This window comes from Homo sapiens, chromosome 14 (assembly GCF_000001405.40).
Source record: "Homo sapiens chromosome 14, GRCh38.p14 Primary Assembly".
Classification (NCBI taxonomy): Eukaryota; Metazoa; Chordata; class Mammalia; order Primates; family Hominidae; genus Homo; species Homo sapiens.
The window spans coordinates 20,335,021-20,359,560 of record NC_000014.9 but is presented as its reverse complement, the minus strand read 5'-3'; the positions used below and the strand labels follow the sequence as shown (position 1 = coordinate 20,359,560).

Below are 24,540 nucleotides of genomic sequence, written 5' to 3'. Positions count from 1 at the left end.
TTTTTTCTTGCTTAAGTACCATGGTTAGAACCTCCAGTACAATATTGAATGGAAGTGGTGAGTGCAAACATCTTGGTCTTATTCCTGATCTTAGAGGATAAGCTTTCAATCTTTCACCATTGTAATGTTAGCTGTGAGTTTTTCATAGATGTTCTTCATAGGGTGGAGGAAGCTCCCTTTCATTCCTACTTTGTTGGATTTTATTTCATTATGAAAAAATGTTACATTTTGCCAAATGCTTTTTCTGCATCTGAGATGATCATGTGATTTTTGCCCTACCTTGGTTTTCAATCTTGCATTACTGTGATAAATCTCACTTGATCATTGTATATAGTCCATTTATAATGTTGCTGGATTAGGCTTGGTAGTATTTTGTTGATTTTTGCAATTATATTGTTAAGGGATATTGGTCTATAATTTTATTTTCTTGTGATATCTTCATCTGGTTTTGGTTTCATTCTGCTTTGTAGAATTAGTTGCAAAGTATTTTCCTCTCTTCTATTCTTTGGAAAAGTATGCAGTCTACTTCAGTTTTAATAGCAGGTTACTTCAGTGAGTAGATATATTTGACTAGTTCCTTATCTATGATCTTTTTGTGTACACCAATGCCTCAGTGACATCTATGCAAACATATATATCTGTAAGTTTTAGGTCAACAGGGCATGAACATTTCAAATTTTGATAGATATTGGAAACCTGGTTTCTAAAAAGTTACAGGAAAAATTTAAACAAACTTCTCTGTTACTTAAGGAAGTGTGTTGTTTATCTGTGTTGTGTGTTTAAATACAATCAGGAAGTCTTTGGATCTGTATTAGTCTGTTTTCATACTGCTATAAGGAACTGCCCGAGACTGGGTAATTTATAAAGGAAAGAGGTTTGACTCACAGTTCACCATGGCTGAGGAGGCCTCAGGAAATTTACAATCATAGAGGAAGGTGAAGGGGAAGCCCTTCTTCACAGGGTGGCAGGAAGGAGAAGTGCCAAGCGAAGTAGGAAGAGCCCCTTATAAAACCATCAGATCTCGTGAGAACTCACTCACTATCACAAGAACAGCATGGGGGAAACTGCCCCCATGATTCAGTTACCTCCACCTGGTCTCTCCCTTAAAATGTGGGGATTCTGGGGATTACAGTTCAAGATGAGATTTGGATGGGGACACAAAGCCTAACCATATCAGGATCTGACCTGGACTTTAGTACTTCTTAGTTGGAGCAGGTTATGTAAAAACTCATTCCACTTTTTTCCTTTCCTCCTCAAGATGTATTCAGGCTTAGTGACAGTCCTCCAAGGGCTTCCCAAATTTTTGGACATGTGATGAGTCCTAGGATGTTGAGTAGTGGGAGACCTAGGCTGCAGTGGATAAATTTGAAAAAGGCAAGTGAATACATATGCATGGGAAAGAAAAACACGACTTAGCCTTTGTTGCCTCTACCCTTCCTGTGATAATACTCAACAAATTCCAGTTTGCAGAAAAATTGAATTAAACAGGTAAAAGCATTAGCGCCCCCATTAGTGTCCCTCAATGCACAGATGCCACTAAGAACAGGATACTGAATAACCCTCAGAGCAATGAGTAATTTCTGTCCTGGAAATGGAGATCTACTAATGTCAGAAGAAATATGTTCTTGGAGAAATAAAGCCCGAAGAAGCCAGTGGTAGACCTGTACAGTTTTTATTACATAAAATATCACAAAATTCACAAGTACAACACTGCTTATTTTCTTGCTTGAAGATCAGATCTCTGGTTTATTTAATATCAACATTCACCACAGCTGAAGGAAATTAAACTGAACCTTTAAAAGGTACCGCATACGGACCTGGTTGGGGTTATATACAATATATTCATTGTAGTTGAGGGTATAACCATCTGGATTCAGAATTCCTGTGTCACTTGCTGGTCCTAATGGCACTGTACTCCCATTCCTGCCAAATGGAAAAAAAGTGTGTCAACATCAGTCTCTGGTTCAGAAGCTGCAATAGAGAACGTAGTCTTATCTGGCCAAAAGGAGTCTTCTAGTCCTCCTGGTTCTGAGTACTTACAGGGTGACGAAGTGGGCAGAACTGGGAGCCATCTTGCCCAGCCCCTTGGTGCTATGTTTACCTTGAAGCAATCCTTCGGCCTTAGGATTGGCCTCTAGTAGTTCATTACACTGACCTAGAGCTACCTGCAAAGCAAAAAACCTTTGAATTCCCATATCCTACTAAGAATTAGATGGCTCCAAAGCCAAACAGAAAATCCCATCAGTACTTTTTTCCCCTACTCCAGCAGAGGAATCCAATGTACTAGAAATTGTACTTGGTCCTCTCTCAAGCTATCCCAGGTAAACCTCTTGGTTCTGGGGTCAAACTTTTCTCATCGGAAAAAAACTGGAATTAATAAACTAGAGATCACAGACATACTCCTGTCTCACCTCTGATAAGAGCAGCAGTCCTGTATTCTTTAGGCGAGAGGCAAAGCAGTAATTGGCACTCTTGGAAGACATGTCAGCAAAGTAGATTCCTTTCCCAAACTGAAATATATACATGAATACCAAGGTCAGCTTCTAACCCACTGTGTTAGAGAGAAGGTGCATACCACTGACCCTGTTTTTCCATTCCCTTAAACACAATATAGACCCTTCTCCATTTCCCCTCACAATTCTGTTCTAGAGAGGGTAGAAGCCCCTGTGAATTTCCGCCTTCTGAGGGAAAGGTGAGGTATCTTTAGGAATTTAAAGAAAGAGGGACACAGTAAGAGATGACAAGGTTATCAGTGAGCTGGCTTAACTCTTGGGGAGGGGAACCATCTAATCCTAATCTAGGAAAAAAAGCACTGAGAACATTACTGTATCCCTTTCCCCTGTGCTCCTCCCAGAGTTCAATTTCACTCACCATGTAACCTGTGATGGGAGCTTCAGGTGGGGCAATTCGAAGCCCATGGCTCAAGATTCCCACCCAGTTACTCATCCTGGAACCATGCCATAGAAGCATCCTAAGGAAAAGCCAATATTATTGTACTCTGTTGTTCTGCACAGATAGGCCATAAGCATAAAAAAGCCAACACCTTCCTCTGACTCCCTCTTATAAGTTCTACAGCTGTACTTTCGGGCAAGGAGTGTCTTTCCAAACGCAAAGCTAGACTCAGACCTGTTATGAAGGTCCTCTCTGAAGGCTTCTTTCTCACCATCCTTCTCCACTTCAAACAAATCCAGCAAGGTCATGGTATAGTCGCTGTGTGTGGGAGCATGGGTAGATTGTAGGTACTGGGAAATCACCTGTGAAAAATAAGACAAAAAGGCTGATGTAGACTCTACAAGAGACTGAGCTGAACTGAAGAATTTGGGGATTCTGATATAACTTGGCAGACCTTTCTGCTCCCAAACAGTCTTACAAGGCAGCTAGGAAAAGCTTGGCCTTCCCAAATCCCTAGTACATAAAAAGTCTGCCCTAATTGACAATTTGCTCTTGACAAGAAGTAGTTAGAGAACAGTGGGATGGGGGAGGTGGTTAAGGGTGCAAGAATATGAAAATAAATGATCATTTTTCTTACTTTGAACTCATAACTTTCATGGTCAAGGGGGCGCAAGGCACAATGTAGGTTTCTATAGTGTTGGTCCAATGGGTGTTCTGGGCTTTGTAGCTCTGTTTTCACCAGCTTAATAGCAATTTCAATGTCTCCCAAAGCCTGAGAAGATGAGATATAGAATCAATGTGGGAGGACACTGGTATAAGGGATATAATACTTCTCAAATCATACATATCTCACCTCTAGTAATTGTATTTTTTCTGACAGTTCCTTCTGTGTCCGGATTAGTGGAGGAGTACGGAGTCTAAGAACAGAGATATAACCCATAATGAGCTTTCTGACATGTGGCTAAAAGGCGCATGACTAAAAATAGAAAATGACAGATAGGTCCTTTAGAAAACAGGTATGAGAAACAGGTTTTCCATTTGAGAGAGAAAGAGATCTGTAAAGAGATCTTAACTTCCAAATATATAAAATAATATTAAATATATACTCGGTATAAGATGAACTATGTGGATTTTGACTTTTGAGACTAGAGTTAAAATTATTTTTTATAAAATCATTTAAAAATAAGTTATATTGATATCAACAGGGAACAGTTGGATACAGTTCTATCTAGAAGCACAGGTAGACCTGTTGACCACTCAGGGTTATTTCTAGGTCACGGGGCTCTATAAAGCTATAAAAGAAATAGAAATCGGATGTAAACCAGAAAACAGAATCAACAAATGTAAAATGTTATTTTGTCTATCTAATATCACTTGAGTTCACAGAAATGGTGTTTGTGTGGTTTTAGTTACTCAAATAGGAAAAGGGGGTGATATGCCTGAAGGTGTTTTACTTGGGTGGTTGGATAGCTAGACCCATTCTCTCTTGGGTTGGTAACTTCCACTTTGTCAGAGAATATGGCTGTGGTCAAGCCGGGAGATTGCATCCCATATTTGTAAGCTGATTAAATAGGCTACCTATATATCATTTTGTTTCTGTACCTATTCAAGACGATCATTTTCTTAGGAATAAAAGATTTAAAAGATTATAGCTGCTGCTGATGGATACAGGGGATATGTATAGGTAGAAGAACAAAGTGAAGTAACAGCACAGGCCTTACCCAAAGTCATGCGGAATCCTGGTGTAGAATTCATTGCATGCTTCCATGAGAGCTCGTCCATGCTGGCCAGCCCGAATACAATCCTCAATCTTCTTAAGAGACTGGTAACCTGCCTTGATTTGTGCCACTGTCAGCTTCCCTGCAGGCCCACCCAGAGATCAGACTCCAAACTAGGATCCCATCTAGTGAACTGTACTTAACATCCTTCCCTAAAAAAGACTTTCATCTTTCAACTTTTTTTTTTCCTGTTTTTAAGATGGGGTCTCACTCCTGTTGCCCAGGCTGAGTGCCGTGGCACAAACACAGCTAAATGCAGTTCAACCTCCTGGGCTCCGGTGATCCTCCCACTTCAGCTTCGCAAGTAGCTAGATCACAGGCACACACCACCATGCCTGGCTAATTTTTCTATTTTTAGTAGAGATGGGGTCTCACCATGTTGCCCAGGCTGGTTTCAAACTCCTGGGCTCAAGCAATCCACCTGCCTTGGCCTCCCAAAGTGTTGGGATTATAGGCATGACCCATCACACCCAGCCTCAACTTTCAAAATAGTTCCTCTTCCCTCCATACAACCTGTCACCCCAAATCCCATTTTCTTCATTCAGTACTATGAGCAAGCTTTAAATCATAATGATAATAAAGTATCCATTAAAGGAGCTAGGAATTATAAGGAGAGAATGCAGAAGAAAATGTGAAGTCCTACCAAGTGGGGCTTTCTTGGTATTATACTTCATTTCCATCATCATTTCTTCCATGGCCTGAACATTACAGATCAACTTTATTAACTCCTGTACCCGAAGATCTAGCTGTGACTCTGGCTTCAAGGGAGATTTAAGAGATTCCTCTTTCTTTGTTTCCTCTTCATCCTATAGCAAAAAACAAACAAAACACAAGACAATCTAAGAAATCATCTCTAGATTCCTTATAACACCCAATATTATACAATGTAAATGCTTTGTAAAGTTTTTATATTGCACTGTCTAGGGAATAATGAGAAGCAAGGAAAAAAAGGCTGTACAGGTTCAGTACAGAAGCAATTTTTCAAACATTTTTGATTCTCAGTTCATTGAATCCATGGATATAGAGGGTTGACCATCCAAGTTCTGCCTCCCACATTTTACAACTCAGAATAAGTCTAGAAAAAAAAGGCTTTCCTCATGACGTCAGTGTGTAAAGACAGCTATTATGTCTCAGATCTTCCCATCTTAAAAAAGACTAAAACTTCTCCATTTTTTTGGATATGTGACTGTTTCCGGACAGTTTCAGCATCCTGGTATACCTCAGTTTATCTAAATTAAATTTTTTATGGTGGTATATATCCAGAAGTGAAAACAAATTTAAATGTTAATTGTTTAATCAGTTTGATTTTTTATCACTCCTCTCTTGGTCCATAACAATAAACTTCTGGTGCCAGCCGCAGTGGCTCACGCTTGTAATCCCAGCACTTTGGGAGGCCAAGACGGGCGGATCATGATGTCAGGAGATCGAGACCATCCTGGCTAACATGGTGAAACCCCGTCTCTACTAAAAATACAAAAAAAAATTAGCCGGGCGTGGTGGCGGGCGCCTGTAGTCCCAGCTACTCCGGAGGCTGAGGCAGGAGAATGGCGTGAACCCAGAGGCGGAGCGTGCAGTGAGCCGAGATCGCGCCACTGCACTCCAGCCTGGGCGACAGAGCGAGACTCCGTATCAAAAAAAAACAAAAACAAAAAAACGAAAAAAACAATAAACGTCTGGAAATAGGGCCTAAGATTTTATAAGAAACTTAGTAGGCCGGGCGTGATGGCTCACGCCTGTAATCCCAGCACTTTGGGAAGCTGAGGCGGGTAGATCACCCAAGGTCACGAGTTCAAGACCAGACTGGCCAACATGATGAAACCCTGTCTCTACTAAAAATACAAAAAAAATTAGCTGGGCATAGTGGCGGGCACCTGTAATCCCAGCTACCTGAGAGGCTGAGGCAGAAGAATCGCTTGAACCCGGGAGCTGGAGGTTGCAGCGAGCTGAGACTGAGCCATTGCACTCCAACCTGGGCAACAAGAATCAAACTCCAGCTCAAAAAAAAAAAAAAGAACCTTAGTAAATAACAGAGCCAAGACTAGAAAGGCACATTCTATCCTCATTCTTACTGTCCCTTTGGGATTACAAAGATCAGTGAGAGCACCCCTGAGGTGAGAAGTAGAAAGGATTCAAGATATCCTGGCCTGTCCCAGTCCAGGAATGATCTAAGCTATTCTGCTTTACCCTGAGTAAGAAGAAACAGGAGTAGGTGTGGTGCCTCATGCTTGTAATCTCAGGACTTTGGGAGGCCAAGACAAGAGGACTGCTTGAGCCCAGGAATTCGAGACCAGCCTGGGCAACATAGTGAAACCTCATCTTTACAAAAAAAAAAGAAAAAAAATCAGCTGGGCAGAGTGGCACGTGCCTGTAGTTCCTGATACTGAGGAGGCTGAGGTGGGAGGATCACTTGAGCCTGAGGATCTTGAGGCTGCAGTGAGCCATGATTGTGCCACCCAGCCTGGGCAACAGAGCACAGTTTTGCCTCTAAAAAATAAAATAAAAAAAGAAGATGTGTTTCTTTCGAAAAGTATAGTGAGAGTTACCTGAGTATTGGTGGCATAGTCCATCTGTAGCATATCATATTTTCCAGGCACCTTCTCAAACTTTTCTCGATCTTCCCAATTGTTTTTCGTTTTGTCAAGGAATCTGTAGAGTCCAAGGTGTAAGAAAACTTTACAAATAAAGGTCTACTATGAAGATGGACTTACAAGACAGAAAATCTCCAAAGAATTTATTTTCCAGCACTGAGCTCCTTTACACATCAACTTTCCATAAATCAAAATTAGTCTAATTCTAAATGAGGACACTAAATGGACAAAAAAGCTCTGGAGACAAATGGAATTTAAAAAATGGGAAAAACAATGCTTGTCCTTCCCAAACACCACAAAAGCCATTGAGATTTCAAACAAAAGATATCCATCTAATCTCTTTCCCTGAAAGAAACATGTTCTCCAATTCTCCAGAAAGTTCTTCATCTATATCATAAAGTTTTAAAAATTCTAACTGAATATTCTCTTTTTTTCTTTCCTTTTTTTTGGGGGAGAGTCAGGGGTCTCGCTTTGTTGCCCAGGCTGGTCTCAAACTCCTAGCTTCAAGCAATCCTCCTGCCTCAACCTCCCAAAGTGCTGGGATTACAGGCATCACCGTGCTCAGCCCCTAGTTGAATATTATCTATCCCAGGATAGTCTCCACTTATCCCAAATTTCCTAAATTTGTCAGTCATGTGTTAAATATATTAGATTCTTCTGTTTTTAGTGACTTTCAAGGTATTAGTTTGATTTAATCACTAAGGATGCAGTTTGGTGTTTCAACCACAGAATGTCAGGGTGAAAAGACATTAACATTTAGGCCAAATCACACCTATAAAACGAAAAGTTTTTTATAAGCCACACACTTATAAAATTCTTAGAGAAGGCAGGGCACGGTGGCTCACGCCTGTAATCCCGCACTTTGGGAGGCTGAGGCAGGCGGATCACCTGAGGTCAGGGGTTCGAGACCAGCCTGGCCAACATGGCGAAACCCCATCTCTATTAAAAATACAAAAATTAGCTGGGCGTGGTGGTGGGCGCCTGTAATCCCAGCTACTAGGGAGGCTGAGGCAGGAGAATCACTTAAACCCAGGAGGTGGAGGTTGCAGTGAGCTCAGATCATGCCATTGCACTCCAGCCTGGGCAACAAGAGTGAAACTGTCTAAAAAAAAATTTTTTAGAGAATATACATCTAAGAAGAGGAGGGTATATTTTTTTGTAGTCACTTTTCAGCACTCACTTCTTCTGAAAGATTTCCTTGGCCTTGTTGAGATTGCCTGAACAAGCCACCAGGCTGTGCTGTCCCATTTTCCCAACTGCAAAGGAAATGCCACACATAAGATAGTTCCCTAAGAGTAACAGGCCAGCTCTCCAAGATCTCTCTGCTTAACATCTGACAAACAGGCAGGAAAGGGAGAAGGGAAAGGTGAAAGGATTTAGGGAACTAATCATGTTGATACAAGTTACTTGCTAACTGCCATAGTCTATGAGCACTACTAGCAGTTCAACTATAGAAGAGTTTTCAGACTCAATGGGCTGCTCTTAGTTTTTCCAGTGGGAACTCTAAGGAGGATGCCTGCCATTCCCCAATTTCAAGATGCTCAACTTGATTCCTAAGGCTCTCCCAGACTTCAGAGCCTCTACTGACCCAATTTAAACCCAGAGAATCCTTTGGCCACCCACTAAGCTGCTTCTGACTTTCTGAATGCCAACTCATAAAATCTCAATAAAAATCATTACCTCGGCCCCATCTCATCCAAACACTGAAGTTCCTCTGGGCATCATCTTCTAATAGCTGAATCAGATAGTACTTGTTGTTGTTGAACTGGAGATTGGTCTATGTTGAGTGAAAACAAAAACAAAAAAAAGGAGTTTTGCAAATGGAAATCACATAAACCAATGACTCATCCTTCGTCACAGGTGCCAGTTATTTCCATAAGGAAAAGGATAGCATCAGGCAAGAAAATTAGATTCCTGTAAGATTAAAGATATAAAGAAGAAATAGGGCTTATACATTAAACTTTGGATTCTTAGGAATTAAAGTGGGAGCCTAGAAGCTTCCTAAAACCCTCTATCCAACCTCAAATATCCTACATTGAATGGCTCCTCCAGTTTTTTCCTGCCTCAGCTCCCTATTTAGATATTTTCTAAGCTATATGTGTTTTCCAGCTCCCAATCCACTCCCAATAATTATTTCCCAAATGAAAACAATTTGGATGCTCCAAAGGTCTAAACCTGTTATGCTCAACTGTTAAATGACTTACTCCTTGACAGTTCTACTCACAGCTTTTGTTTGTCAGCTGCAGAAATTTGACAATGAGCTGAGAGCAGGGCAATAATGGGAGGGGACAAGGGATACGCAAAACCACTGCCACATCCGTCCCATACCTAACCTGACCTGACTTGGAGATACTGAGAGAGAATATGGCCAGTATCTAAAAAGAGGTATCTGTAAGTAAATCACTCAGAGTGAAGAGAGAGAAGTCCATGATAAGGCATAGCAGCTGGTGTTGTATGGCCGAGCCCTGGATATGGAGGCATTCTTTTTTGTTAAGCATGCTGCCCCTTCCTACCTCTATCTCCTGCTTGCTCACATTCTAAAGCCATTGTACGACCTTAGCCCACTGGTGAAAAAAAAAAGGTCATTAGATGTTAGAACAAAAAGGAGCCTAAGATATTTTCTTTTTTTGAGACAGAGTCTTGCTCTGTCGCCCAGGCTGGAGTGCAGTGGTGCAACCTCCGCTCATTGCCACCTCTGTGTCCTAGGTTCAAGCAATTTCTTGTGCCTCAGCCTCCCTAGTAGCTGGGATTACAGGCACACGCCACCATGCCAGACTAATTTTTTTTTGTATTTTTAGTAGACATGGAGTTTCAACATGTTGGCAAGGCTGGTCTTGAACCCCTAACTCAAGTGATCTGCCCGCCTTGGCCTCCCAAAGTGCTGGGATTTTAGGCATAAGCCACCATGCCCAGCTTGATATTTTCTTTTCCTTTAAAAAATTTTTTTGTAAATGTTTTTATGGTTTTTATTTTTTATTTTTTTGAGATAGGGTCTCCCTCTGTCACCCAGGCTGGAGTGCAATGGCTCAATCACAGCTCACTGTAGCCTCAACCTCCCAGGCTCAAGCAATCCTCCCACCTCAGCCTCCAAAGTAGCTGGCCCATGCCCGGTGTTTTTGTATTTTTTTGTAGAGACAAGGTTTCACCATGTTGCCCAGGCTGATCTTGAACTCACACCTGAAGTGATTCTCCAGCCTTGGCCTCCGAAAGTGCTAGGATGACAGGCATGAGCCACCACACCTGGCTGCCTTAAGGTATTTTCCTTCTTTTCTTTTTTTTTTTGAGAAGGAGTTTTGCTCTTGTTGCCCAGGGCTGGAGTACAATGGTACGATCTCGGCTCACCACAAACTCCGTCTCCCAGGTTCAAGCAATTCTCGTGCCTCAACCTCCCGAGTAGCTGGGATTACAGTCATATGCCACCACACCTGGCTAATTTTGTATTTTTAGTAGAGATGGGATTTCTCCACATTGGTCAGGCTGGTCTTGAACTCCCGACCTCAGGTGATCCGCCCGCCTCAGCCTCCCAAAGTGCTGGGATTACAGGCGTGAGCCACTGCACCTGGCTAACCTTAAGGTATTTTCTATCTGCTCGTGGTATTTTAAGTAGAAGAAATAGTAAGAAATAAATACTAATTGGTTGTTAAAATTATATATGTTGGATCAATAAATTCAAACATGAAGTCATATCCAGGAAATATATTAATGAGGCAAATGTATTATCTACTCAAAACCACAAAGGTAAACAAGAGAAAAAGGTTGATTAAAAAGAAAGCTGAGCTTGGGGGCAGATGCCTGTAGTCCCAGCTACTTGGGAGGCTGAGGTTGGAGGATCACACGAGGTCACAAGTTCAAGGCCAGCCTGAGCAACATAGCAAGACACTGTCTCTAAAATTAAAAAAAAAAAAACCCAAAATTTTTTAAAAAGGAAAAATTAATAAATTTAACTACAGAAAAAATTTAAAACTTCAATATGGGCAAAAAGTGTACTATAAGGAAAACCAAAAGGTAAATGACAAATCTGGAAAACACAAGTGGTTTGTATTACAGACAAAAGGCTATTCTCCATATTATATAAAGTTCCTCGAAACCAGTAAGAAAAGGACCAATAACTTTAGAAAATGTGCAAAACAGCTTGTCCCAGTGGCTCATCCCTGTAATCCCAGTGCCTCATGAGGACAAGGCAGGAGGATCATTTGAGGCCAAGAATTCAAGACCACCTATCCAACATAGCGAGATTCTCATCTCCATAAAAAATTTAAAAATTAGTCAGGCTTTGTGGCATGCGCCTGAAGTCCGAGCTACTCAGGAAGCTTAGGTGGGAGGATTGCTGGAGCCCAGAAGTTCAAGGTTGCAGTGGGCTATGACTGTACAAACTGCACTCCAGCCTGGGTGACAGAACAAGATCCTGTCTGTTTAAAAAAAAAAAAAAAATGTGCAAAAGGATATGAACAGAGAGTTAACAATTTCAATAAATGATATGAAATTTGCAAAAAAAAATCTTCTCACAGAGGACTCTGCTATCTGATAAGAGTGTGCTAGGGCTGAGTACTCAGGTGTTTAACCACTAATGGCTAATATTAATATAAAGGACTTGCCGGGCGCAGTGGCTCATGCCTGTAATACCAACACTTTGGGAGGGTGAGGTGGGTGGATCACCTGAGGTCAGGGGTTCAAGACCAGCCTGGCCAACATGGTGAAACCCCATCTCTACTAAAAATACCAAAAAATTAGCCAGACACTGCACCTGTAGTCCCAGCTACTTGGGAGGCTGAGGCTGGAGAATTGCTTGAACCCAGGAGGCAGAGATTGCAGTGAGCCGAGATTGCACCACTGCATTCCAGCCTGGGTGACAGAGCAAGACTCTGTCTCAAAAAAAAAAAAAAAAAAAAAAAAAAAAAAAAAAATATATATATATATATATATATATATATATATATATATATATACACACACACATATGAAGGACTTTAGGCAAGGCGTGGTGGCTTACACCTGGTAATCCCAGCATTTTGGGAGGCTGAGGTGGGTGGATCACTTGAAGTCACGAGTTCGAGACCAGACCCTGGCTAACGTGGCGAAACCTTGTCTCTACTAAAAATACAAAAAATTAGCTGGGAGTGGTGGTGCACGCCTGTAACCCCAGCTACTTGGGAGGCTGAGGCAGGAGAATTGCTTGAACCTGGGAGGCAGAGGTTACAGTAAGCCGAGATTGTGCCACTGTATTCCAGCCTGAGAGATGAAGTGAGACTCCATTTCAAAAAGAAAAAACAAAATTTAAAAAAAAAAAAAAAAGGGACTTTAAAGATCTGAACACTGTGATGCTATCATCAATAATTATCAAGAAGATGGTCTCATAAATATAATGGTGCCACCTCTTCTTGCCTCTTACCTGATTTAGCATGACATCATAGACATCATTTCCTTCACAATACACATGAGCCTAGAAAGGGAGAGAGAGAAAAAATCAACATTAGTATAGGTTCAGCCCTGACATCCTAAATGAGGCTCTAAATTTTCTTATGGCTCAAGTCATCATTCTACAGCAACATCAACATTCATCTCCCAAGGAAAGAATTGCAAACCTATGTTCTACCAGTAACCTGGGTGTAACCTTACTATAAATGAAAACATGCTTCCTTTTTTTTAACTATACAAAAGATTCTGAGTTAGGCTGCGCATGGTGGCTCATGCCTGCAATCCCAGCATTTCGGGAGGCTAAGGTGGGCAGATCACTTGAGGTCAGGCATTCGAGACCAGCTTGGCCAACATGGTGAAGCCCCGTCTCTACTAAAAATATAAAAATTAGCCCAGGCTGGGCGTGGTGGTGGGCACCTGTAATCACAGCTACTTGGGAGGCTGAGGCAAGAGAATTACTTGAACCTAGGAAGTGGAGGATGCAGTGAGCTGAGATCACACCACTGCACTCCAGCCTGGGTGACCGAGTGAGACTCTATCTCAAAAAAAAAAAAAAAAAAAAAAAAGATTCTAACTGAGTTAAAGAAAACTTATTCCAGAGGTAGCCTTCTTTTTTCCCCATTCATCAGTAACTCATGCCATTCCAGGGTACAGTTTCTCATTAGAACAAGAAAACAGTTTTCCCTTAACAATGATACCATTTTCTGGTTTAAAAAGAGAATGAGGTGTAGAAGGCTGATGGCAACCACAAAAGGTACGCATGTGATATAGTTTGTATATTTGTCTCCTTCCAAATCTCATGCTGAATTGTAATCCTCAGTACTGGAGGTGGGGCCTGGTGGGAAGTGATTCAATCATGGAAGTGGATTTCTCATGAATGGTTTAGCACCACTGTCTTGCTGCTGTCCTCTTGATAGTGAGTGAATTCACACAAGATTTGGTAGTTTAAAAGCGTGTGACACCTCCCCATTCTCTCTTTCTCTCTCTGTGACACCTTCTCCAATCTCTCTCTCTCCCTTTCTCTCTGTCTCTCTCTCTCTCCCCTGCTTTTGCCATGTGACGTGCCTATTCCCGCTTCACCTTCTGCCATGAGTAAAAGTTTCCTAAGGTCTCCTGAGGAGCAGATACTGCTATGCTTCCTGTACAGCCTCTAGGAACCTCTTTTCTTATAAAATACCTAGTCTCAGGTATTTCTTTACAGCAATGCAAGAATGGTCTAACACACCATGTTAAAAAACACCCTGATTATTAACCCCAAGCCCTACCACTCCTATCTCTTGCCATTAGAGAAAACTACTCACTCATCATATTTTGGAGAGGATTCCTAAAATGAGTACTAACAGCATCCCAGACAGGAGTCCTTATAACAAAGGATGCTCTCTGAGATATCCATGGACTGAAGATCGGTTCCAGAGTCTCTTACCTTCCCCACCTTGGCTGTACACTCTGGGTCCACAGGAGCTTTGCCCTTTAACAGCAAGGCCTTCACAGATTCTGAGGAAAGACAGATAGGTACTACTTTATGGGAATCAAAAACAGCTGTTGTGGTAAAACAGAAACTTGTCAGGATTAACTTTGCCCGCCCAACCAATCCTGGTCTTTCCTTAGACCCCAATCCATCTCAAATACATGAAAATGAAGATTCAAGGCAGTAGATTAGTGCTGTGGTATGCCCAAAGGATAGAGAAATTAATTATTCCCTGAAAGAAGGACGAAATAGGAGTTGAAATAACAAGATATCATCCCCAGATCCACTCCTACCAGAGACCCTTTTGCTGGCCCATGACCTTCCTGGCATACCATCTTGCTTGTCTTCTGTCCTGTCCTTATTAGCTTTTCCTCCAGCCACAGGCATCTTTTTCGACTCCTGTCTCTGGCATCTACGAGTTTTCTTGGCAGGGGAAGAGTCTTCTGGAGCCGTGTTGCCATTATTAACTCTTTTGCTTTCATTTAATGCTACAGAATTTGGAAATTAGCAAAGAATGAGTACACACCCGAATACGTGTAGATTTTAAAGATTGAAAAAAATCTTTTAAAGAAATGGTTTAAGATAATTTTCTCTCTTTTTTTGTTTTGAGGTGGAGTCTCACTCTCTCGCCCAGGCTGGACTGCAGTGGTGCGATCTTGGCTCACTGCAACCTCCGCCTCCTGGGTTCAAGTGATTCTCGTGCCTCAGCCTCCTGAGTAGCTGGGATTACAGGCGTGCACCACCATGCCCAGTTAATTTTTGTATTTTTAGTAGAGACAGGGTTTCACCATGTTGGCCAGGCTGGTCTCGAACTCGTGACCTCAAGTGATCTGCCCTCCTCGGCCTCCCAAGGGATTACAGGCGTGAGCCACCTCACCCCGCCGGTTTAAGATAATTTTCTAAGTTTACAGAGGCAATAACAACTGTCCCACACTACTTTTGTGTAACAGTCTGTGTAATTCTTCCTAAATTGCTATTCTAGCCAAATGAAATAAAACAAAATAAAAGGGAGTCCCAGGAGTCTTGTAAGCTCATAGATTGAGGCCTGCTTATCTGTTTTACTTGTGTCCCAATGTCCCCCAAATACCCACCTCATACATGAGGCCGTATGGGATAAAGGTTAGTTAAGTGCTCAAGGGTCTGTGCCTAATTTAGAGCCTAGCTCTGCTGCTTTTCTCTGTGGAAACTTGGAGAAGTATTTGATCTCTTCCTACTTCACTTACTCCAATATTAGAATATTGTACAATACTGTACTTCTAGAGAAGTACAATAGAACCTAATTTATAGGGTGCACCTATGCATTTAAGAACATTATACACATAATACCGTATCTCAATAGGTCTAAGACTCGCATTTTACTCTCTGGAACTGGGATGCATCTTACAATGGATGACATAAGCAGTGAATCACAGTTCACCATTTTCAGTGCTTATCCTTTGTTGTGTATAAAATAATGGTGTGCCTTACAATTACTTTTTGTAAATTGGATGACATTAGGTATTAACAACAGTACTGGCACATTAGTTGTTACAGCTCCGCAAGGCTTTATGCACAATTATGTAATCCCCAAAGCTCTGAAAACCGAAATTTACAAAATTTAGCACCCCAACTGGTTTGGTAGCCAAGTGCAGGTTATAGGGAGCTGGAAGGGGAAGGGGGTCACAGTAGGTGGCATCGTTCCTTTCTGACTGCCCGCCCCCCGCATGCCGTCCCGCGATATTGAGCTCCGAACCTCTCGCCCTGCCGCCGCCGGTGCTCCGTCGCCGCCGCGCCGCCATGGAATTCGAACGCTGACGTCATCAACCCGCTCCAAGGAATCGCGGGCCCAGTGTCACTAGGCGGGAACACCCAGCGCGCGTGCGCCCTGGCAGGAAGATGGCTGTGAGGGACAGGGGAGTGGCGCCCTGCAATATTTGCATGTCGCTATGTGTTCTGGGAAATCACCATAAACGTGAAATGTCTTTGGATTTGGGAATCTTATAAGTTCTGTATGAGACCACTTTTTCCCATAGGGCGGAGGGAAGCTCATCAGTGGGGCCACGAGCTGAGTGCGTCCTGTCACTCCACTCCCATGTCCCTTGGGAAGGTCTGAGACTAGGGCCAGAGGCGGCCCTAACAGGGCTCTCCCTGAGCTTCGGGGAGGTGAGTTCCCAGAGAACGGGGCTCCGCGCGAGGTCAGACTGGGCAGGAGATGCCGTGGACCCCGCCCTTCGGGGAGGGGCCCGGCGGATGCCTCCTTTGCCGGAGCTTGGAACAGACTCACGGCCAGCGAAGTGAGTTCAATGGCTGAGGTGAGGTACCCCGCAGGGGACCTCATAACCCAATTCAGACTACTCTCCTCCGCCCATTTTTGGAAAAAAAAAAAAAAAAAAAAAACAAAACGAAACCGGGCCGGGCGCGGTGGTTCACGCCTATAATCCCAGCACTTTGGGAGGCCGAGGCGGGCGGATCACAAGGTCAGGAGGTCGAGACCATCCAGGCTAACACGGTGAAACCCCCCCCCATCTCTACTAAAAAAAAAAAATACAAAAAATTAGCCATTAGCCGGGCGTGGTGGCGGGCGCCTATAATCCCAGCTACTTGGGAGGCTGAAGCAGAATGGCGTGAACCCGGGAGGCGGAGCTTGCAGTGAGCCGAGATCGCGCCACTGCATTCCAGCCTGGGCGACAGAGCGAGTCTCAAAAAAAAAAAAACCGAGTGGAATGTGAAAAGCTCCGTGAAACTGCAGAAACCCTTTGGGAACAGAGGGAACCATGGGGCAGGAAGCCCACGAAAATTCTAATTGGTCTTCTGGTTCTTGGTGACATCAGGTGAGGGGCGCCCAAATGTTTGGCTTCATGAGAATCACCGAGTATGGGGACTGCATACTTAAGCAAATTCCCCACCCCAGACCCTCCGATTCAATAAGCCTGTATTAACAAAATCACTGGGTAATCCTGGTTTTGGCACTAATATCATTTAGAAACATATTGTTAGGATAGCATAGTATCTGTTATAGAGCAACCTGAGCAAAATAGCGAAACCTCGTCTCTATTACAAAAAAAAAAAAAAAAAAAGTGAAAAATTAGCCAGGCGTGGTCGCGGGCGCCTGTAATCCCAGCTACTTGGGAGGCTGAGGCACGAGAGTCGCTTGAACCCGGGAGGCGGAGGTTGCAGTGAGCCGAGATCCCGCCACTGAACTCCAGCCTGGGTGACAGAGTGAGACTCCGTCTGAAAAAAACAAAGAAAAAAAAATTGATACATTTTAATTTTTGTTCATCAAAAGATGTAAAGTTTAGAAAGAAAAAACCCAAAATCTCATTATTTGCATGTAATTTGATTATGAATATTTTAAAAGCTAGAAGAAACTACAGGATAAAAATTTTACCTTAATACAAAGCCTAGCAAGACTGATAGAAAATAGCGTGTGAAAATAAATTCCATGCTTATAAAAGAGCTTCAAACAACTATAAATAAAATTTTTGGATAAGGTAGCATTTACAATAACACCAAAGCATATCAAGTAGTTGGAAATAAATCTAACAAAATGTAAGTGCTCAATAAATGTTGTTGGATAGGATTGCTTAACCTGTTTCAGCGGTACAAAGCCTGTTACATCTGACTTAATTATGACACAAATAAATTAGACTAGGTCTAAAAGGAAATACTTTGGAGATAGGAAAAATATAAGCCTTTATGAAATGAAAATTTATTAAAAATAGCTAATACTTAGTAGAACTTTCTTGTGTACTAGAGGCTGAGCTAATGCTTTACATGCATAACCTCATTTAATCTTCATAAGAATAATAGCCAGAATTTATTTAGTTCTTACTATGCTATGAGCTTTACATACATTATTTAATTCTCACAACAACCTCATGAGGCATATGTTATTATCTCCATTTATAGTTGAGGAAACTGAGCTTTAGAAAAATTTAATTTATTCAAGATCACACAGTGTATTGCTAGGGCTGCTATAACTACATACATTGTCGTAATTCTGGCGGCTAGAGGCCCAAGGTAAAGGTCTTGACATGGCTGATTTCTTCTAAGGCCTGCCTCCCTCTCTCCTTGGCTTGTAGATGGATGCTGTCTTTCCTCTCTGTGCATCTATGTCCTAATCTCCTTTATTTTATTTATTTATTTATTTTTTGAGACAGAGTCTTGCTCTGTTGCCCAGGCTGGAGTGCAGTGGCAAGATCTCGGCTCACTGCAACCTCCACCTCCCAGGTTCTTGAGCGATTCTCCTGCCTCAGTCCCCTGAGTAGCTGGGACTATAGGCGTGGGCTACCACACCTGGCTAATTTTTGTATTTTTATTAGAGACAGGGTTTCACCATGTTGGCCAGGCTGGTCTCAAACTCCTGACCTCAAGTGATCCACCCGCCTCAGCCTCCCAAAATGCTGGGATTATAGGCGTGAGCCACGGTGCCTGGCCCTTAATCTCCTTTTCTTATAAGGACATCAGTGATATTGGATTATTCCCAACCCGTATGACCTTATTTTATCTTAATTACCCCTTTACATGTCCTATCTCCAAATACAGGCAGATTCTGAGATAATGAGAGTTCTTCAAATACATACATTTTGAGGTGACACAATTCAGCTCATAATATACAGTTCCTAAAAGGCAGGGCCAGATCTGGGTGACTCCAAATTATGTTGTTATCTACTAGGCTAATGTATTCTGTTTCATGACAGTAGTTACCATCCCACACACATTTTTAAAAATGTATTTTTAAAGTTTTTATTGATTCTTTTTCTTTTTTAGTTATTATGGTGGTCAGAGTGAGAATTACTGAAAATATATTGTGAAGATATAACTTCTTTATAGTCAAATACAGAACAAGTGTAACTAAAATAGTACTGAAGCATGTCACCAATAACTGGAAGAAACCGGCTGGGTGCGGTGGCTCATGCCTGTAATCCCACCTCTTTGGGAGGCCAAGGCAGGCGGATCACCTGAGGTGAGGAGTTCGAGACCAGCCTGGCCAACATGGTGAAACCCCCTCTCTAGCACAAAATTAGCTGGGCATGGTGGTGGGTGCCTGTAATCCTAGCTACTCAGGAGGCTGAGGCAGGAGAAGCTTGAACTGGGGAGGCGGAGGTTGCAGTGAGCCAAGATCGCACCACTGCACTCCAGCCTAGGTGACGAGAGCGAGACTCTGTCTGAAAAACAAAAACAAAAAAAGCCTGGAAGAAACCAACAAATTTATTTTCATAATTAAAACCAAAACCTCTATAGATAAGTGGATGAAAGATATTAATAAACAGTTTGCATTTGATAAATAAGTGCATGGAAAAGATATTCAGGCTCACATAGTATGAAAAATACAAATTAATATTCGACAGGACAACTGGCCTACTCTCTTCATACTATTATGTAAAAAAAAAATTGTTAGGACTGTTTTAGAGTAAAAGAGACATTTGAAGCCTAACAGCCAAATGCAATGTTTGGATGCTGGTTTGAACAAGCCAGCAATAAATGGGGATATGTGGATATGGACTGGAAATTGGATGATTTTAGGGAATTATTTATTAGATATTATAATGGTATTCTAGTTAGGTTTAAAATAATGATATTCTAGTTATGATTTTAAAATGTCCTTTAGGGTAGGTGTGGGGGCTCATGCCTGTAATCTCAGCAGTCAGAACTTCAGGCAGGAGGATTGCTTGAGCCCAGGAGTTCAAGACCAGCCTGGTCAACATGGCGAAACCCGACTCTACAAAAAGTGCAAAAATTAGCTGTATAATTTATCACTTGAGCCTGAGAGGTCAAGGCTGCTGTGAGCTGTGATCATGCCACTGTACTCCAGCCTGGGTGATAGAGTAAGACCCTTTCTCAAAAGGAAAAAAAAAGTTCTTTAAAAAAAGCATGCTATAGTATTTTCTGATAAGACATCACGTTATCTAGAATTACTTTATTTTTACAGATGGAGTGCAGTGGTGTGATCTCAGCTCACTGCAACCTCTGCCTCCGGGTTTCAAGCAATTCCCCTGCTTCACTCCAGTGTGGGCAATAGGGTAAGACCCTGTCTAAAAAATAAGATAAATTTAAAAATAAATAAATAAAATGAAAGTTAGATCATGTTAGATTTTTGTTCCAGTGGCTCCCCATCTCAAATGCTGTGGCTTGACCAGGCTCTATATGATCTGCTTCTTACCCCAGTGCTTTGATTTCATCTGCTACTATTTTTCCCTTTGCTTACTCCTGTTAGGCACTCTGGCCTCTTTCCACTTTGTCTCAAACATACCAGTCACTCTTCTCCCTACAGGCTTCTGTTCTCTCTACCTGGTCTACTCTTCTTCCAGCTAACAAGATTGATCCCTGACTTTCTTCAGGTCTTTGTTCTTAGTAGCAGTGGTGCCTTCCTTGATATAAATAACATCACTCCCATTATCACTTGTAGCCTCTTACTCTGCTTTATTTTTTTCCAGAGTACTAATTACAACTTAACATATATTTGTTTAATTTTTAGGAGATCTGACTCTCTCCAATAGACTGTAAGCTCCAAGTGAGCCAGGGCTTTGTGTATTTTGTTTCCTGCTCTGTAACCAATGCCTGGAACAGTATCTAGCTTTCAATGATATTTGTTGAATGAGATACTAAATAAGACAGGGTGTCAAGGAGCAAGGGGTATGACTTGAAAAAGAGGGTGGGTTCTGAAGGAAAGGTGAGACTTTATTGAACTTCACTGTCTTGAGGATTTCTCTTTCCTACCTTATTCAAAGAGGTGGATCTTGAGAGTTGTTTAAAAAAGAAATTCAGAATCAAAAAGATCAGTAATTGAAGGAAACTAGTAAGATTTTAAAAGCTTTGAAATTCCACAAGTATGGTTTATTATATTGCCTGATGTTATAAATATGTTTCCAAACTTATTTATATTTATTTATATATTATATTGCCTGATGTTATAAACAAATTTCCAAATTTATTATTTGCCAATTTTCCAAAAGTGATCAGCAAAGCTGCGGATCAGGACCACCATTTAAAGGAATTTGCATACATGTCTTCAGGAATAGCTAGGAAAGGGATGTTGATGAGAACCTTCTACTTTGCTACAACTTTGGAAGGAAAGGATCCTCAAGAGATATTAATTTAAAATGGAGAGAGTTCTGAGACGTATTAAAAGGGGGAAAGTAGTAGCTCAGAGTTGGGGTAGGAGGTGTTGAACATGTAGAAGGCCCAATCTCTGGAGTCCTAGGTTCAACTTGGGGGATAGGCATTCAATGTGGTGTCCATTTAGCCTTTGAAGCCTGTCCTTTGCTGCCTTAGGGGGTTGGGGTCTCCTACTTTTCTCTTCTCCCCTCTAAATTGAAACCTACTCTTGGATCTCTACCCTTATTTTGTGGAGAGGTACTGTTTTATTTTTTAAACACGAACACATTCTTCTCGTAAAACATTGCAGATATTCAAAACCAAAAAGCTCCTCCCTTAATTCCCTCAATCCTTCTCCTTGGAGTAACTTGTTAGCAGTTTGGTGTGTCTCTTTCCAGACTATTTTCTTTTCATTTACTTGCAAAAATGTGCACATACAGAATTATTCTATTTTGCATTTTTTGTGGGGGGGGGGAGAAGTGTTACATAAATGTGAGCATATTACATGGTGTTATTCTTGGCTATTTTCACTTCATATGCATTGGAGATGTTTTCATGTCAGTACATGCAGATTTACTTCATTCTGTTTAACTACTGGGTAGTATCTCATAGAATGGTTGTATCATTTAAAAAATGTTGTGGGTACATAATAGGTGTATAAATTTATGGGGTATATGAGATATTTATTTATTTACTTATTTATTTGAGACTGAGTCTCGCTCTGTCACCCAGGCTGGAGTGCAATGGTGCGATCTCATCTCACTGCAACCTCCGCCTCCGTGGTTCAAGCGATTCTCCTGCCTCAGCCTCCTGAGTAGCTGGGATTACAGGCGCACACCACCATGCCCGGCTAATTTTTGTATATTTTAGTAGAGATAGGGTTTCACCATGTTGGTCATGCTGGTCTTGAACTCTTGACCTCGTGATCCACCCGCCTTGGCCTCCCAAAGTGCTGGGATTACAGGCGTGAGCCGCCGCACCCAGCACATGAGATGTTTTATGTGCAATGTGAAATAAACACATCCTGGAGAATGGGGTATCCATCCCCTGAAACCTTTATCCATGGACAGTCTTTCAGTTATTTTAAAATGTACAATTAAGTCATTATTGACTATAGTCACCCTATTGTGCTATCAAATAGTAGGTTTTATTCATTCTTTCTAACGATTTTTTTGTACCCATTAACCACCCCTGCCGCCAAGGAATAGTTGTATCATGATTTAATGATCTTTGAATAGACATGGGTGTTTCTAATTGTTTTGCTGTCATAACCAGTGCTACAAGGAACATCCTTCCTTGAACATGCCCATTTGAGCACAATAGTTCTCCAGGGTGGATAACCAAATGTAAACTTGCAAAGGAGATGCTTAATTTTTAATTACAGACAAATGGCCATTCTCAATTCTTCATTTTGAATAAATTATAAATGAAATTTTTAGAGTGCTGCCTTTTCCAAGAGTTTACTCACTTCAGCAGTGATAACATCCCTTTTTTCCTTTTTTTAAATTTATTTTTTATTTCAATAGGTTTTTGGGGAGCAGGTGGTGTTTGGTTACTGGTGATTTCTGAGATTTTAGTGCGCCCATCACCAGAGCAGTGTACACTGTACTCAGCATGTAGTCCTTATCCCTCAACCCCACCACCCTTTCAGTGATAACATCCTTAAACGATAGTCATTCAGTTGGTGTTCTCCAAAGGGTGAGCCTCAAATCTACCGGAAGTACCTGAGGGTGCTTATTAAAATACATATTCCTGAGTCCCACCCACTGAATTAGAATCTCTGAACGTGTGTCCCAGGAATCTACTTTTTTTTGAAACAGGGTCTCACTCTGTTGCCCAGGCTAGAGTGCAGTGGTGTAAACACAGCTCACTACAACCTCTACCTTCTGGGCTCATGCTCTCTTCCCGACTCAGCCTACCTTAGTAGCTGGGACTATAGAGGCATCACCACTCTTGGCAATTTTTTATTTTTATTGTTTGTAGAGACAGTTGTTTTACCATGCTGCCCAGGCTGCCCTCAAACTCTTGGGCTCAAGCGCTCCTTCTGCCTCCACCTACCAAGTATTGGGACTACAGATGTGACCTACCACACCTGGCCCCAGGAATCTATCGACTTTTAAACAATTTCAAAGTTATTTTACAGAGCACAAAATTTTGATGTTACCAGCTGAAGAGAATTTCATCATGGATTATTATAAGTATTAAAGCCTGGAATACAGAATATCATAAAGAAATGTTAGATATTTAATGGGAATTTGAAAAGAATATTGTACTTTCTAAGGTTTTCTGAAATCACACAATATAGGAAGCAGTGCAATGTGGTGGTTGAGTTTGGGCTGTCAAGTTGGATGGCTGCTGTCTCAGTTTGTTTTCTGTTGCTTATAACAGAATACCTGAAACTGGGTCACTTATTTATTAGTTTGTTTTTTAATTAATTTATTTTTTGGATACAAAGTCTTGCTCTGTCTCCCAGGCTGGAGTATAGCGGTACTCCAAACCTACACCTCATTAGTTCAAGCGATTCTCCTGCCTCGGCCTCCCAAGTAGCTGGGATTACAGGTGTGCACCACCATGCCTGGCTAATTTTTTGTATTTTTAGTAGAGATGGGGTTTCGACATGTTGGCCAGGCTGGTCTCGAACTCCTGGCTTCAAGAGATCCACCTGCTTCGGCCTCCCAAAGTGCTAGGATTACAGGTCTAAGCCATCACACCAAGCCTGGTTTATTTATTTATTTAGTTAGTTTTTGAGACAGGGCCTCACTCTGTCACTCAGGCTGGACTGCAGTGGCACAATCTTGGTTCACTGCAACCTCCGCCTCCCGGGTTCAAGTGATCGATCCTCCCACCTCAGCTTCCTGAGTAGCTGGGACTACAAGCCCATACCACCATGCTCAGCTAATTTTTGTATTTTTAGTAGAGACGAGGTTTTGCCATGTTGGCTAGGCTGTGGGGTAATTTATTTTAAAAAAGAAATTTATTTTTTGCAGTTATGGATGCTGTGAAGTCCAAGGTTAAGGACTGCCTCTGGGTTGCATCTGAACTCCTTCTTGCTGGAGGGGACTCGCTGTGATGTTCCAAGGCGTGGCAGGAAATCACATGGCCAGGATGCTGAGACTGCTAACATGCTATCCTTAAGTCTCTTTGCCTTTTCTTTAAAGCCACTAGTTCCCCTCCCATGATAACCTATTAATCCATGAATAGATTAATTTATTTATGAGGGCAGAACCCTCATGATCCAGTCACCTCTTGAAGGCCCCACTTCTAATGAGGATTAAGTTTCAGCCACTTTAGGGATTAAGTTTCAACATGAATTTTGTAAAAG

The 24,540-nt window shown here is 41.8% G+C and overlaps 1 protein-coding gene and 1 non-coding gene across 6 annotated transcripts, besides 2 other annotated features; one reads left to right on the top strand and one right to left on the bottom strand.

The window, feature by feature from the left end:
- Nucleotides 1,657–15,926, bottom strand: PARP2 (poly(ADP-ribose) polymerase 2). 5 transcript variants are annotated; one of them, NM_005484.4, is made up of 16 exons: nt 15,874–15,926; nt 14,435–14,629; nt 14,097–14,167; nt 12,648–12,698; nt 8,939–9,035; nt 8,439–8,514; nt 7,214–7,316; nt 5,314–5,476; nt 4,614–4,752; nt 3,746–3,809; nt 3,530–3,664; nt 3,127–3,254; nt 2,872–2,971; nt 2,412–2,510; nt 2,041–2,165; nt 1,657–1,923 (listed from the first exon to the last, which is right to left on the bottom strand). In NM_005484.4, exons 1-16 carry the CDS (start codon nt 15,917–15,919, stop codon nt 1,764–1,766), a joined length of 1,752 nt encoding a protein of 583 aa, NP_005475.2. In that variant the 5' UTR covers nt 15,920–15,926; the 3' UTR covers nt 1,657–1,763. The 5 variants fall into 5 exon arrangements, with proteins under 5 accessions (NP_005475.2, NP_001036083.1, XP_005267304.1 ...); NM_001042618.2 differs by having other exon boundaries at nt 14,474–14,629; XM_005267247.4 differs by lacking the exon at nt 2,041–2,165.
- Nucleotides 15,844–16,013: an enhancer, noted in NCBI's record as "active region_8070". NCBI's record gives its function as "activates an Ori minimal core promoter by ATAC-STARR-seq in GM12878 lymphoblastoid cells {active_cell/tissue: GM12878}" and the evidence as "EXISTENCE:reporter gene assay evidence [ECO:0000049][PMID:35858748]".
- RPPH1 (ribonuclease P RNA component H1) lies at nt 16,150–16,490 on the top strand. Its single transcript, NR_002312.1, has one exon.
- Nucleotides 16,944–17,043: an enhancer, noted in NCBI's record as "active region_8069". NCBI's record gives its function as "activates an Ori minimal core promoter by ATAC-STARR-seq in GM12878 lymphoblastoid cells {active_cell/tissue: GM12878}" and the evidence as "EXISTENCE:reporter gene assay evidence [ECO:0000049][PMID:35858748]".